Source organism: Homo sapiens, chromosome 2 (assembly GCF_000001405.40).
Source record: "Homo sapiens chromosome 2, GRCh38.p14 Primary Assembly".
Taxonomy (NCBI): Eukaryota; Metazoa; Chordata; class Mammalia; order Primates; family Hominidae; genus Homo; species Homo sapiens.
Genome location: NC_000002.12, coordinates 62,816,092 through 62,831,747, shown reverse-complemented (window position 1 = coordinate 62,831,747; position 15,656 = coordinate 62,816,092). Strand labels below are relative to the sequence as shown.

General features: G+C 35.0%; 1 protein-coding gene across 52 annotated transcripts in view; it reads right to left on the bottom strand.

The window, feature by feature from the left end:
* Window positions 1-15,656, bottom strand: part of EHBP1 (EH domain binding protein 1) — a 372,610-nt gene that overhangs the window by 214,740 nt on the left and 142,214 nt on the right. For all 52 annotated transcript variants that reach the window (XM_047443744.1, NM_001142615.3, XM_011532718.4 and 49 more), the window contains 2 exons: window positions 5,480-5,661; window positions 590-729 (listed from right to left, as the gene is read on the bottom strand). In XM_047443744.1, the coding sequence (XP_047299700.1) occupies window positions 590-729; window positions 5,480-5,661 (322 nt within the window). The remainder of the gene's footprint in view (window positions 1-589; window positions 730-5,479; window positions 5,662-15,656) is intronic.

The window sequence follows — 15,656 nt, the reverse complement described above, 5'->3', positions numbered from 1 at the left end:
AGAAGTATGACATCAATTGCTTAAGTGTGATAGCCAAATTGTCAATAAATATTTATTGACCAATTAATAAAAAGAAGTTCTAACCACTTAACATCTTAGTAGCTTGATCAACTCAGCTTGAAGGAATACCTGCATGGAAGCTTCAATACCAGGATACATAAGATATATAAATTCAAAACACAGAATGTCCACATAATTCAAGTAAATAAATGAATATGAAATAGAAGCAGCTGGCCAATCCATCTCCTTATTGTGTCCTATTATCCTTTACAGGCAGATCTTTACTTACAGAGGTTTCATTCACACATTGACAAAATAAGTATGACCAGATTTAGGTTGCTTTGTATTATAATTCAAGAATGTTTTTTGTTATTTTGACCATCCTTGTACTTGATCTCAAACTGCTAAAATCTATTATAAACAGCATGGAAAGTTGTCAGAGAACTAAATGGTATATTTTATTGTAGAAAGGCTTAAAGAAAAAAAAAGAAACCCAATAAGTAGAATTGTTTTTTCCTGGGAAATGAGAATGAGTTTTTGAACTCTGCAACAAAAGATAAACTTTTAGTTTAATGCTAATAAAACCAACCTGTAATTTTAGCTGCCTTTTCTTCTTGGTTCACTCTGTTCTCATCATCATCTTCATTATCTTCTTCGAAGTCATCTAAATTGCCAATGTCAGCCTGCTTCATACTCATCAAACTAGCCAAACTTTGCATGTCTTCATCTCTACATCAATGATTCAAAATATAACACATTGTACTAAATGACAGTTAGAAAAATGATGGTTTCTTAAGAAAACAATAAATTCCTTCTTTCTATAAGGTATGTCAATAAGTCTTTCTTATCAGTTGCACAAGAATATTGAAAAATCTAAATACTCATATTCATTAATTTTTAAATGGCATGCTTAATTAGTAAAGAGCTAATAAGATTAAAAATTAACTGGTTAGATCAAAGACTTAAATCTAAACCTGAAGCCATAAAAATTCTAGAAGATAACACTGGAAAAAATCTTCTAGACATTGGCTTCGGCAAAGAGTTCACGACCAAGAACCCCAAAGCAAATGCAACAAAAACAAATAGATGGGACCTTATTAAACTAAAAAGCTTCTGCACAGCAAAAGAAATCATCAGCAGAGTAAACAGACAACTCACAGAGTGGGAGAAAATATTCACAAACTATGCATCCAACAAAGGACTAATACCCAAAATCTACAAGGAAGTCAAACAAATGAACAAGTAAAAAATGAAATAGTCCCATCAAAAAGTGGGCTAAAGACATGAATAGACAATTCTTAAAAGAAGATATATGTGCCGGGCATGGTGGCTCATGCCTGTAATCCCAGCACTTTGGGAGGCCGAGGCAGGTGATCACAAGGTCAGGAGTTCGAGACCAGCCTAACCAACATGGTGAAACCCCATCTCTACTAAAAACACAAAAATTAGCCGGGCGTGGTGGCATGCGCCTGTAATCCAAGCTATATATATTATATATATAGTAGTATTCCATATTGTGTGTATGTGTGTGTGTGTATATGTGTATATATATGTGTGTGTGTGTGTGTGTGTGTGTGTGTGTGTGTGTGTGTGTCTATATATATATATATATATGCACCACATATTTTTAATCCACTCATTGGTCAATGAGCTTTTAGGCTGGTTCCGTATTTTTGCAATTGCAAATTGTGCCACTATAAACATTGCATGTGCAAGTGTCTTTTTCCTGTAATAACTTATTTTTTTCTGGGTAGATACCCTGCAGTGGGATTCCTGGATCAGACGGTAGTTCTACTTTTTAACTCTTTAAGGAATCTCCATACTGTTTTTCATAGTGGTTGTACCAGTTTACATTCTCACCAGCAGTGTAAAACTGTTCTCTTTTCATCACATCCATGTCAATATCTATTTTTTTTATTCTTAAATTATGGCCACTATTGCAGGAGTAATAGTGTATATGTATAATATATATAATAGTATATATGTATAATATACATAATATAAATATATAAATAATTATAAATATTACGTATTTATATATTATTATATATTATATATTATATATACACAATACCACTATATATAATATATAGTAGTATATATAGTAGTATTATGTATTATATATAGTAGTATTATATATAATATATATATACACACACACACACACACACACACAACATAGAACACCACTCAGCCTTAAAAAGGAACAAAATAATGGCATTTGCAGCAACCTGGATGGAGTTGGAGACCATTATTCTAAGTGAAGTAACTCAGGAATGAAAAACCAAACATCGTATGTTCTCACGTGTAAGTGGGAGCTAAGCTATGGGGATGCAAAGGCCTAAGAGTAATATAATGGACTTTGGAGACTTACGTGGAAGAGTGGGAGGGGTGTGAGGGATAAAAGACTACACATTGAGTACCGTGTACACTGCTCAAGAGATGGGTGCACCAATATCTCAGAAATCATCACTAAAGAACTTTCCTATGCAACCAAACACCACCTGTTTCACTTATTTATTGAAATAACATAATTTAAAAAATTTAACTGGTTAGGAATTAGTTCGATTCTGTGCTGTAGATATATATGGAAGACTAAAATATTCTTTTCTTTTTTTTTTTTCTTTTTTTTAAGACAGGGTCTCACTCTATAAGCCAGGCTGGCTGGAGTACAGCAGTGTGAACATGGCTCACTGCATCTTCCTGGGCTCAAGCAATCATCCCGCCTTAGCCTCCTCAGTAGCTGGGACCCCAGGTGTAGAGCACAATGCCCAGCTAATTTTTAAAATTTCTGTAGAGAGGGGGGTCTTGCCATGTTGTTCAGGCTGGTCTCAAGTGATTGTCCCACCTCAGGCTCCCAAAGTGTTGGGATTACAGGTGTGAACCACTGTGCCTGGCCTAAAACTTTCTTCATGGAATTAAAGTATGGTTTCCTGAGAATTAAGTCTGGAAACAAAAACTTGTTTCAAAAACAGTGAGACAGTTTGCAAATCAGATAAGATCTAGAGTTTAAATATTCAAACTGCCCAAAGGAATTAGAACAAGATTTTAAATCTGAAGTCCACGTAGGCTTTTGAGTTTGTGGGTAAGAGGGAAACAAAGTGGCAAACCCCTGTAAATCACACTTAAATCTTGCTTAAGTATATTGTTTTTCCAACAGGGCCATAACCGCCCAAAAGTTAAGAAACTATTATAGCAGGAAAAGCACTTTAAAAACAAAGTCTAACCTTTTTAAGAGCTACAAGATAAAAAAAACTACCTTGGATGATTGTATGTTAAATACCATGTATTTGATAAATCTGAACTTTTTTTAAATGTTTTAAGTATTTTAAGTACAAATTTATAAAGTTTACATTAAGTACTCAAAGTCAAATCATTTATATTTTCATCATGTATTATTTTCACCTTAAATTTCAAATAAACTACAGTGAATGAAATATGTATCTATTATTTACAAATTAATTTTTACTTTGCTATACTTCCCCCAAATTCAGAAAGCCAAATTAAGATACTGTTTCTTTGTAAAGTAATGCTTAATACGCCGTTATCTTCTAAATATAGTATGGCTTTACAGACTAAACTGGTTTTAAAAAATTCTTTGCATCTTATCTCATATAAGCCTTAGAGTTAACAAAGTCATTTCCCCTTTTTAAAATAAATTTAGTGACACAAAGTTTGCATGAGCAAAAAAGTTATTACCTTACGTGAATGTCTTACAAATTGCTCTCTTATCAACAGGAGACAATTTCAAAATGTCATTCTTAAAATATTAACTTGCTGGCTGGGCGCGGTGGCTCACACCTGTAATCCCAGCACTTTGGGAGGCCGAGGTGGGCGGATCACTTGAGGTCAATAGTTGAAGACCAGCCTGGCCAACATGGTGAAACACCGTCTCTACCAAAAATATACAAAATTAGCCAGGTGTGGTGGTACACACCTGTAATCCCAGCTACTCGGGAGGCTGAGGCAGGAAAATCACTTGAACCCAGGAGGTGGAGGTTGCAGTGAGCCGAGATCGTGCCACTGCACTCCAGCCTGGGTGACAGAGCGAGACTCTGTCTCAAAAAAAAAAAAAAGTTAACTTGCTTAATTGCATACCATTTTAATTTCCTCACATTTTAAACCTGAACATTTTTCTTTGGGGAAGGTAACCAGGCAAAGAAGGAGGAGGTAGAGAGGCAGTTTAGGATGTTCGGAAAGAATTCCTTTTCAATTCAAATTGAGACATTTGGTTTGGCTGAATTTCCTCTCACCCAGATTCCCGTGAATGGTGCTGATTCACTTACAGCTTTTGCCCAGTGGAAGGAAGTCCACCCTCAAAGGATCTTCTCTGAATTTGTGTCTCTTCTTCCTGTGTTTCCTTTCCTTTTGTTTTGGCTTAAACTTCAGGGTAAGATCTTTATTTTTAATTACTCAGTATTTAAGTCTATAATTTAAGGTCCTGAGATGAAAGACTAAGATGCTTCCATTCTGCACTGTCTCTCTACCACACTGGCTTAGAATCCAACTTGCCAGAGAGGAGGCTTACTGTTATCTCACAAGTCATGTGTTGCCATGTAGATGAGTGTCAAACATCTCATTTTGACTGACGCACAGAATCCAGTCTAATCAGTCAAGTAGACATGGCCAATTATAGTAACCACCTTCCACTAGGTCAAATACATTCAGAACTGTGATTCAGATTAGATAAAATGTTCACAGCTGTCTCTTTCCCCTCACCTTTTAAGTCTAGGTATAGAATTTCCATTTCTCCTGTCTCTTCATCTTCCACTCCATGTAGGTACGAACCCTTTCACAACACCCGTAACATTCACTTACCCCTGACTTGATTGTATGCAATAACCAGGGTGAATCTTACTTTTTTCCCCGCTTTGTAGGTATGTTCACCTCATTTTGTCAAGTTAGAATTTTACTCTTATAAGAGACTAGAATGGAATCTAGAAATCTTTGTGCAATGCTGACTCAGTGCTTAAGAAGTGATTTTTGAAAAGAAAATGATTACAATAAACTGCTTATCTAACTGTACCTTCCTACATGATTTTTGGAAGGTTGAGCCAAGGAATATGATTTGGCAAGAGTTCCCTTAATTATTTCATCCCTTTTATCCTAAACTTTTCGTTTTGGGTTCCTCTCATGTCTCAATTGCATCAAACAGTTCTACACATTGAACTGTGTGTACCTCAGAGTACAGACTACTACACTGAAGACACTGAAATATAAAACACTTATAATATCCTAAAATATACAATTTAAATTTTGAAACCAGCTGTGCTCACGTTTATATTACTGTACATTCTCTGGAGTCAAAAGAGACTATTTATAAGTAACAAGGAGTTCCCTTAATTCAGCCTCTGAAACAAAGAATGGCAAAAATGATTGGTATGCTGTAAGATGTTCAACTATTGCCAGTCTACTGAGTCAAAAGCTATGGTGTACTGAAACACAATGTAAGGAAGCTTATTTGACAAAAGAAACTTACGTGGCTTTTCCTTCCCTCAGAAAAATGCAAGATAATGAAAACTGAAGAGCGGCAGATACAACTTTTTTAGATAATGGCTTGAATTTTAACTTGACATCAGTCTGAGTTGGCATAGGGCTTGCATACTGTTTCATATTGATGCTGCTAGTAGCAAGAGCTTTCCTTCGACCAGAAGGGGATTCCTGGAAGATTAAAGAAAAAAAAAGTATGTAATTTTGAGTTATTTTATAGCCAAACATTTTAAAGTACGATTTTAATAATAAATCAAATAATAATTGAAAACTTCCTTCTCCTATTACATTCCTATCACACAATAACTAAATAAAATTACAATGAAGTTGTATCACAGTTGTTACATTTATAAGTAAGGCAGATATGCAATTGGAAAGCGGTAACCCAGGCAGAAACAAGAGAAGATTAGAACAACCCTAAACACCAGAAAAGGAGAAGCAAGGAATGAAAACTAGGACAGAAAGTCTCCAGGGTTACTATGAGAAGAGGATCCAATACAGGGCTAGGCATCAACAAATACTCAACAGTTATTTGCTTTGCTTTGATAATATTTAATGTAACCTAATGATATTTCTCCTTTTTAAACGCCTACGATTATTTATAGAACTTCCAGCCTTGGTGGCATTCTACCTCTTTTTTTTTTTTCTGTCTACAACATCTGAATTCTATGTATCCTGTAATTTGAGTCTTATTTCTTCCCCAGGCCTTTTTTTTATTGTTCAGTCCATAGTTGTCTCTCCCATAAAAGCACATATATCATAAAAGAAACAGTTGGCTTTCTGATCCTATGCCCAGACACCACTAACTGACTCCAGCAGATCTCAGAATTCTTCTCAACATTGCTATTGCCAATTCATCAGAAATAGAACACAAAATGAAACCTATTTGCTATCAAAAGTACTTAACATTCCATTACTAAAGTTATTATGTTTCTTAACTATACTTTACAGAATAGCCTAGGAGAACAATGAAAACAGGAGAGCAAAATAATGGTTGTGCATTAACTTTGTACAAGACATCGTGTAAATTCTGGGGAGATATGATGAATAAGACATAATCTCTGCAGGTTCTATGGCAAAGGGAAAATTTCAGATGTAGGATAATGTGTAAATAACATAAATCAGAAATCATGTACCATTATTTCTTGTAGTTTACTGATATGGGAGTTAAGACCAAAATTTAAACCTTAATTTTCAAGCTGTGTGACCTTGAGCAAGTCAGAAAACTTGAGTCTCAGTAACCTTCTCCATAAAATTAGGAGGCTAAACAGAAATCCATTCAAGTTCTATAATTATTTTCCATAAAATTATTCAATTTTCAAACCAAGACAAGAAAAACTACCATTAATACCTTTGAACTATTATTTAATAAATCTTTATTTCTCCTATGTTTGAAAAATTTGCCTAAAATAAGGACATACTAATTTAATCAAAATATTAAAACAGCCTTTAAAAAAAACCCTGATATTTCTACCCAGCGAAACAAGTAAAAATGTAATGTAGCATCCCTAAAGAATACCTTGTTTTAAAATGTGGCCTTATCTGTCAGATTATGCACAGCAATAATATACAGAACTATTAGTGCATGTAGATACCTTATGAATGAATTTCAAAAATGCATCAAGCACTTGAGAAGGATTTAAGCCCTCTCAGAAGAAATACTTAAGAATATGCAAATATCCTCAACTGAATCAAGTTGAACAGATGTGACTATACCAAACAATACAAGTGTTCTTTCCCTGGTTGCTACTGTCAATCAAAGAATAAGATTAAGGTTCAAGGTTCTGACAATGAGCAAAATGAAAAAGTATGATCAGAGAGTATCAATTTATTACACTGATATGAACAATAATCTCTCATTGTACCTTTAGAATAGCTAACAATTTCTACATATAATATAGGATTTAAAGCCTCTGTTTTGAAAGCTTGACATATAAACTGTCACATATTTTCAGTTTTTGTTAAACAAATCTGTTTCACAAAGTATGACATTGATCCCTTAATATAATTATTTAATTTTATAACTGAATAAGCTATAAAAATTAAGATAACTTAGAAATGAGCATAATTTTGAAAACTTAGTTTAAGAATGCTTCTGCAAAAGTCTAGATTTTTTATCATATTCTGCCAATTTCATTTTTTAGAATAAAAAGTATGTAGAAAAATTTTTCTGCTGAACTCAGGTTCATGGCAAACAAAAATGTGTTTTTTAAGCATCTGGTAAATCAGTGTCTTTGAAACAATAGGTAATAAAAGCTACCAAATTCTAAATACAATTAGCTGTACTACTTAAGCAATTATTTGCTTAGGAACAATGCAAAGAGCCCTTTCTGAGGTCTGGGCAGATGAGTAGACTAGAGCTCTTTTTAGTCTATGATATCCATTCCCAATACTAATTAACACAGGACCTCACTAGAGTCTGTGTCCTTAATATACTATGTCCTTGATATAATGTCTCCCTTTTGGGAAAAGGAATTTGAATGGTGTTCCTAGTAATTCTCCAGCTACCTCAGACATTGTTCTCTCCTTAAAATTAGCTATCTCAGAAAATACATTTTAAGAAGAATAGTAATGAGGGAAAATATGGGGATCTTTCACAGCTCTAACCCCACTCCATGAATTTTTGTTCTTTATAACCACCAAGTCTAAATCTGTACCCACCCAAGATGGACATCATTGCTATAATCGGTTCTATAAGAGGAATGAAATAACTGCACTCAAACAAGCATGTCTTTTGGATCCTACAGTCCTTCTTAAAGGGACTAGGGATCAGCCAGGGAGAGAGAGAGAGTTTAGAGAGAATTACTATTATTGCTGCCAGGGTCCTAATGCTACTTCAGATCACATGTGGGTTGGACAAAAGAACAAGAATGAGAGAAAAAAGAGTAAGAGGAGCTAGTAGAAAATGAAAGTTTGGAGATAAGAGTCAATACAAAAGTGAGTGCTGAATGTCTGTCTGAATAACTGTCTCTGGGCCTATGTTTAAACATCAGTTCGTATGTGCATCTGGCAGTATTTTCGAAATTAGTTCAAAATCCCTAAAGCAAAGGTTCTTAAACTTCAATGTTTATTAAAAACCAAAAACAAAACTAAGAAACATTATTAAAAATGTTAATGCCTGAATCCCACCCCTAGAGATCCTAAATTAGTAGACCTAAAGATGGACCTAGGAATCTGATTACTGAAAAGTAATATCCCCCCTCCACACATACACACCACTACTACCAGGCAATTCTGATTCAGTTAATCTAAAATCACATTTTCAGAAACACTTCCCCTAAGTTCTTACACAAAATTATTTAAATTTAAAAATGTCACTTATTTTTCATAACTATTCTCATTGTTATAAAAAGACTTAGCCTATATATTTCCATTTCTTTGAAATACAGTCTATTGCGGTTGGAATCAGACAAACCTGGATTCGACTGTAGCACCAGCACTTATTCATTGGTTAATCTTTGGCAGATTTCTTCATGTATCTAAGCCTCAGTTTCACACTTTCAGATTGGCAAATATTTTGTAAAGTTGAACATTACCAAGTGTTGATAAGAATGTGAAACAATGCAAACTCTCTTATACTGCTGGAGAGTTTCAACTGATACAGCCACTTTGAAAAACAATCTGACATTACCTCGTAAAGTTGAATACATGCAAATCTTAACAACTCAACAATTCTCATCCTATAAATATGTCCTAGAGAAATTCTTGCAATAACACATGAAAATAATTAGAGTATTTAGCATATAGTCAGCACTCAATAAACAGTGTTTACTAATTTTTATGGACCATTTAACCTGGTTCATTACACTAATAAATAGTCCATCCAGGGTCACCAATCTTGAAAGGAGAAAAAATAGATAACTGCACAATTCAATGCAGAATGTTTACTTTAAAATAGTGTAGTTACATAATTAAAATTTATGCATGGACCCCCACTAGGTTCAAGCCAAACCTAAAATGAGTTCTCCACCTCTATGGACTCTCATTGCTATTCAAGTAGTAACAATGCAAGCAACAGGTGAATAAATGTTTTCTCTGTACATGAGCATAAAGGGGGAAAGATCTTACAATTTTTCTAATAAGAAATGAACTGATTATAAAAATGAATAAACATATTCTGAGACTCAGGACTTCTTTATAAATATTTTTAAACATCGTTAAAAAAAAACTTTTGGTTAGAATGAATGAATAAGACCTAGTATTTGATAACATAACAGGGTGACTATAGTCAGTAATAATTTAACTTTACATTTAAAAATAACGGAAAGAATTGGATTGTTTGTAACACAAAGGATAAATGCTTGAGGGGAAAGACACCACATTTTCCATGATGTGATTATTATGCATTGCATTCCTATATCAAAACATCTCATGTACCCCAGAAACATATACACCTATGTATCCACAAAAATAAAAAATAAAAAATTATACTTAAAAAAAGCATTTAGATAATTTCACCACTTTTTCCTCCCTAAAACTAAGAACACGGTATAAAACATAATGGTAGCAAGCAATGTAGTTCAATGGCATAACTGTTAGTTCATATTCTTTTGATGTTGTTGCTGTTGTTGCTTTTTTGAGCCACGGTCTCACTCTGTCACCCAGGATAGAGTGCAGTGGTGCAAAAACAGCTCACTGCAGCCTCAACCTACAGGGCTCAAGCGATCCTCCTACCTCAGCTTCCCAAGTAGCTGGGACTACACCACCCACATCTAGTTCACTTTTTATTTTTTGTTGAATGGGATCTCACTATGTTGCTCAGGCTAGTCTTGAACTCCTGGGTTCAAGCGATCCTCCTACCTCAACCTCCCAAAGTGCTAGGATTACAGGCGTGAGCTACCACACCAGGCTTTAATTCATATTCTAAGAAGATGGAGAGGACATTTCTTGTCCAAATTATTCAAGTTAGTTTCCTTACAGAATAATAGTTCATTGTATGCTTTTTCATCTATTATGAACCCCACAATAAGTAAAATTAATGTAATGCCTCTCCTATTAAAATATTTGGCTGACTTTATTACAATATTTTATTAAATAAACCACATGATAGAAATGTAATCCTTTCTCCCATGCAAGAGGACTAGAGGTAAAGGTGCAGAAACTTACTTAGATTTTTATAATTTTTCAGGGCTTTATTACATAGACTGTTCTATAAGATTCTGTCATATACAAATACTTTATCAGGTCTCTTACAAGACACTAAAAATTAAACTAATGGCATTAATATTTGAATTTTAAAATTATGAAATATACATAATAAAGCATAAAACTTAAGAATAATAAAATGAATATCCTATACTCACCACCCAGCTTGAGAAACAGAACATTGCCAGTACCTTACAAGCTGCATGTCCCCTCCCAAATTGTATCCTTTCCATTCCTTCCTCCAGAAGGAAACAGTATTCTAAATTTTTTATTACTCTTTCCCTTCACTTTTTGAAAATATCCTGCTGATGAATGGATCAACTAGATGTGCATATATATATATATATATATATATATATATATATATATATATATTATACACACACACACACACACACACACCCAATGGAATACTATTCAGCCTTAAAAAGGACATTTTGACGTATGCAACAATATAGATGAACCTTGATGACATTATGGTAAGTGGAAAAAAACAAACACAAAAGGACAAATATTATATGATTCTACTTATATGAGGAATAGGCAAATAGAAAGCAGAATAGCGGTTACCAGGTGCTGGGGAAAGGGTTGAATGGGGAGTTTTTAATGGGTACAGATAGTTTCTACTTGGGATGATGAAAAAGTTCTGGAAATGGACAGTAGTGATGGTTATACAATATTGTGAATGTACTCAATGGCACTGAATTGTACACTTAAAGATGTCTGAAATGATAAATTTTGTTATATATAGTTACCACAACTAAAAAGTGAAAAAAGATTTATATTGTACAGTATTGTGAGTCTTTTTACTTTTATATAAGGAAATAAAATTACCATTTTAAAAATTTGTTTCTTATCTTCAACATCATGTTCTTTTTTTTTTTTTTCTTTTTTTTTTTTGAGACAAGAGTTTCACTCTTGTTGCCCAGGCTAGAGCGCATTGGCACGATCTCATTTCACTGCAACATCTGCCTCCTGGGCTCAAGTGATTCCCCTGCCTCAGCCTCCAGAGCAGCTGGGATTACAGGCACCTGCCACCATGCCTGGCTAATTTTTGTATTTTTAGTAGAGATGGGATTTCACCATGTTGGCCAGGCTGGTCTCAAACTCCTGACCTCAGGTGATCTGCCCGCTTCGGCCTCCCAAAGTGCTGGGATTATAGGCATGAGCCACCACGCCCAGCCTCAACATCATGTTCTTAATATTCATCTATGCTGACATGTACATCTGTGGTTCATTAAATTTCATCGCTCCTAATATTCAATTACATGAATTTCTACGATTTATCTATCCATTTTATTGTTGATGGACATATGGGTTGTCGCGGGTTTTTTTTTTTTTGTTTTTTTGAGCTGGAGTCTCGCTCTGTCACCCAGGCTGGAGTGCAATGGCACAATCTCAGCTCACTGCAACCTCCACCTCCTGGGTTCAAGCAATTCTCCTTCCTCAGTCTCCCAAGTAGCTGGGATTACAGGTGTGCACCACCATGCCTAGTTAATTTTTGTATTTTTAGTAAAGACGGGGTTTCACCATGTTGGCCAGGCTGGTCTCAAACTCCCACACCCCCAACCTCAGGTGATCTGCTTGCCTCAGCCTCTCAGTGTTGGGATTACAGGCATGAGCCACTGTGCCCGGCTGCAGGTTTGGAATTATTAACAAAGCTGTTACAAATATTTTTACACCTATATCCTGGTACACATGCACAATAATTTATCTGGGAAATATTTCTAGGATGGGAATAGCCAGGTCATAGGATATGTACATGTACACCTTTATCGGAAAATACCAAATTGTATTCCAAAAAGGCTGTATTAGTTTGTACTTTCTAAGAGTTTCCCATTCTCCCACATTCTTTAGATTTTTTGTTAAACTTTAATCTCTTATGAGGTAAATTAATAGATTTTTCCAAAATTAAAGCAACTCCACATTCCTTGGAGATAGCCAACCAGGTCGTGATGTACTTCTTTATATTAAAATATATTTCTGGCTTTGGAGGTCTAATGTTTTGCATGGGATTTCTGTATATTCATGGAGCATATAGGCCTATGATTTTCCTTTCTTTTATGCTCCCTGGTTACATTAGCCTCATAAAATGAGCTGCGGCATCCTTTCCCATTCTCTGAAAGACTTAAAGACTCCCTAAGTGAGTTTAAATATTTTCTCCCCACCCAGGAATTTATCCATCTCATCTAAGATTTCAAATTTACTAAAGTACAATAATTTAATATATCTTTTTATTACATTGATCTCTGCAAAATATATGGTCTTGTACATTTTTCATTACCAATACTATTTATTTGTGCCTTTTCTCCTTTGTTCCCAAATGATTCTTGCTATAAATTGGTTATTTCATTAGACTTTCCAAATCAACAACTTGTGATTTTGTGATTCTTTCTAGTCAATGTTTTCTATTTCAGTAGTTTCTGCCATCTTTATCATTTCCTTCCTCCCACTTTCCTTGGGTATATTCTGTTCTAACTCCTGAATTTTGAGCAGTTCTTCTTTGCTGATATAAGCAGTTAAGGCTATACAGTCATGCATCCTTTAATGACAGGGATACGTTCTGAGAAATGCATCATTGTGTGAACATCAAAGAGTGTACTTTCACAACTCTAGGTGGTACAGCCTACTACACACCTAAGCTATGTGGTATAGCCTATTGCTCTGAAGCTACAAACCTGTACAGCATGTTACTGTACTGAATACTTTAGGCAATCCTAACACAATGGTAGGTTTTGTGCATCTAAACATACGTAAACTTGGAAAAGGTGCAGTAAAAATACAGGTGCACCATTTAAAAAACTTTTTAAATGGTATGTCTGTATAGGGCACTAACATGAATGGAGCTTGCAGACTGGAAGTTGCTCTGGTTAAGTCAGTGAGTGAGTGGTGAGTAAATGTGAAGGCCTAAGACATTACTGTACACTCACCACTCACTCACTGACTTAACCAGAGCAACTTCCAGCCTGCAAGCTCCACTCATGTTACTGCCCTATACAGGCATACCATTTAAAAAGTTTTTTTAATGGTACACCTGTATTTTTCACAAATGTTCCAGGGGTACTTAAAAAATATTTAACTGCTGTGTATATACTGCTGTCCACTTTTATGACAGGAGCATTTTTATGTAAAATCACTTGTATCACCGAATTATTATATTTTCTATGTGATAAGGAAAGTAGGAGTAGAAATTTTCAAATGTGAGATCATGGAATATTTTACTAAAGTGCACGAATCAAGGAACAAATAAGTGAAAGAGTTGAGGAGCTGCTCATAATCTGGGCAAAATTCCAAGTAACAAACCTTATAATAAACCTCTTTTTTCAATTTACCACCCCTCCCTCTGAACACGCACACACTCTCACACAATTCTGAGCACACTGTATATTTACTTGATACTGTATTTCCTTTCAACTGGATTAATACCCTTTAAACTAATCTTGCTGCTCCTGCCTTTGCCTTGCAATTATTCTGAACACAGAAACTATGATGATCCTGGTAAAGCCAGATGATCTCATTCCTCTACTCAAAAGCCTTCAATTGCCCCACAGCAAAAGCCAAAAAGCCCTTACTGGACCGACAGGCCCTATATCACCAGGCCTTCCTGACTTTGCTCTTTGATCTTATCTACTATGCTATTGTTCCATCTTTTTTTCTGCCCCAATATACTGGCCTCCTTACTTTCTCCAATGCACCAGGTATGCATCTCCCTTAGAGCCTCTGCATTTGCTATTTCCATTACTAGGAATGTTCTTCTCATAGATATTATATGGCTAGCTCGCCCACTTCCTTCAAGTCTTTTACTAAAACTCACTTTCCCAGAGAGGCCTTCTCTGCCCACCTTACCTAAAATTTCAACCACACTCCCAATACACATTTCATATTCCCCTTTACTTTTTCTCCTTAACTTACATGAGCAAATATGCAAATACTGTTTACTTGCTCACCACTGTATCCTAGCCCTAGAGCCATAGCATATAGCCACTACTCAATAAATACTTCTTAAGTGAATGAAGTGTAATTCTAGGACTTACAACACTTTGAAGTACCTTTACATCATTAGTTTCTTCTGTTCAAGATTTTTTGCACATTCCTTTATAATACCTCTCCTAAACACGAGAAAAAGATGTGAGGTAACAAGAACTGTACAGTCTGTTTCCATTTGCACAGCTGGGCAGAGGTTTCTCCAAGCCAGAACGGGGATAAACAGGTAGAAGGGACCCTGGGTGTGTGGAGAAATGGAGCAAAATAGGTATTCCTTCATTTGGTTTATGTGGGGGGAAAAGGGAATGAAGGCAGTGAGCCACTTCAGTAATACCTTGGAAAGCTATTCCAAAAGCACTGTGGGCAAATCAGATGCCAGAAACATTATAGAATTAGGAGAGTCAGGAGACAATAGAGCCACGTCTTAAACTAGCTAAATCCATGACAACTCCATACACAGATTATCCCCTAACTGAAGCCACAGTCTTCTTTACAGGCTCCTCTTCCTCTTTCTGACATTTAACCTCCTCTTATTTTAGAACTGTCTCTTGTAAACAGCATATATCCAAAAACAATTTTAATCCAGTCTGATAATCACTGGCTTTTCCTGGAGAGTTTAGACTAACAGTTCTCAAGGGTTTTTGTCTTAAGACCCTTTATACACTTTATTTGAGAACTCCAAAGAGCTTCTGTTTATGTGGGTTGTATCTATCAATATTTACTCTATTAAAAGCTAACAATCTAGAAAACATTTCATTCATTTAAAAATAACAAGTTCATATATTAACATGTTTTATGAAGAATAAATATACTTTCTATAGAAAATAATTTAATAAGAAGAGTGTCTCTATTTTACATTTTTGTAAATCTCTTCAATGTCTTTATCTCTCTCTAAAGTCTCTTTAAAGTCTGGTTTGACAGACAGCTCTAGTCCTATATTCAATCTGTGTAATACAGACTGTTTTGGTTGAAGTATATGAAGAAAAAAATCAAGTATCACACAGATATGTAGCTGGAAAAGTATGGGAGTATTTTAA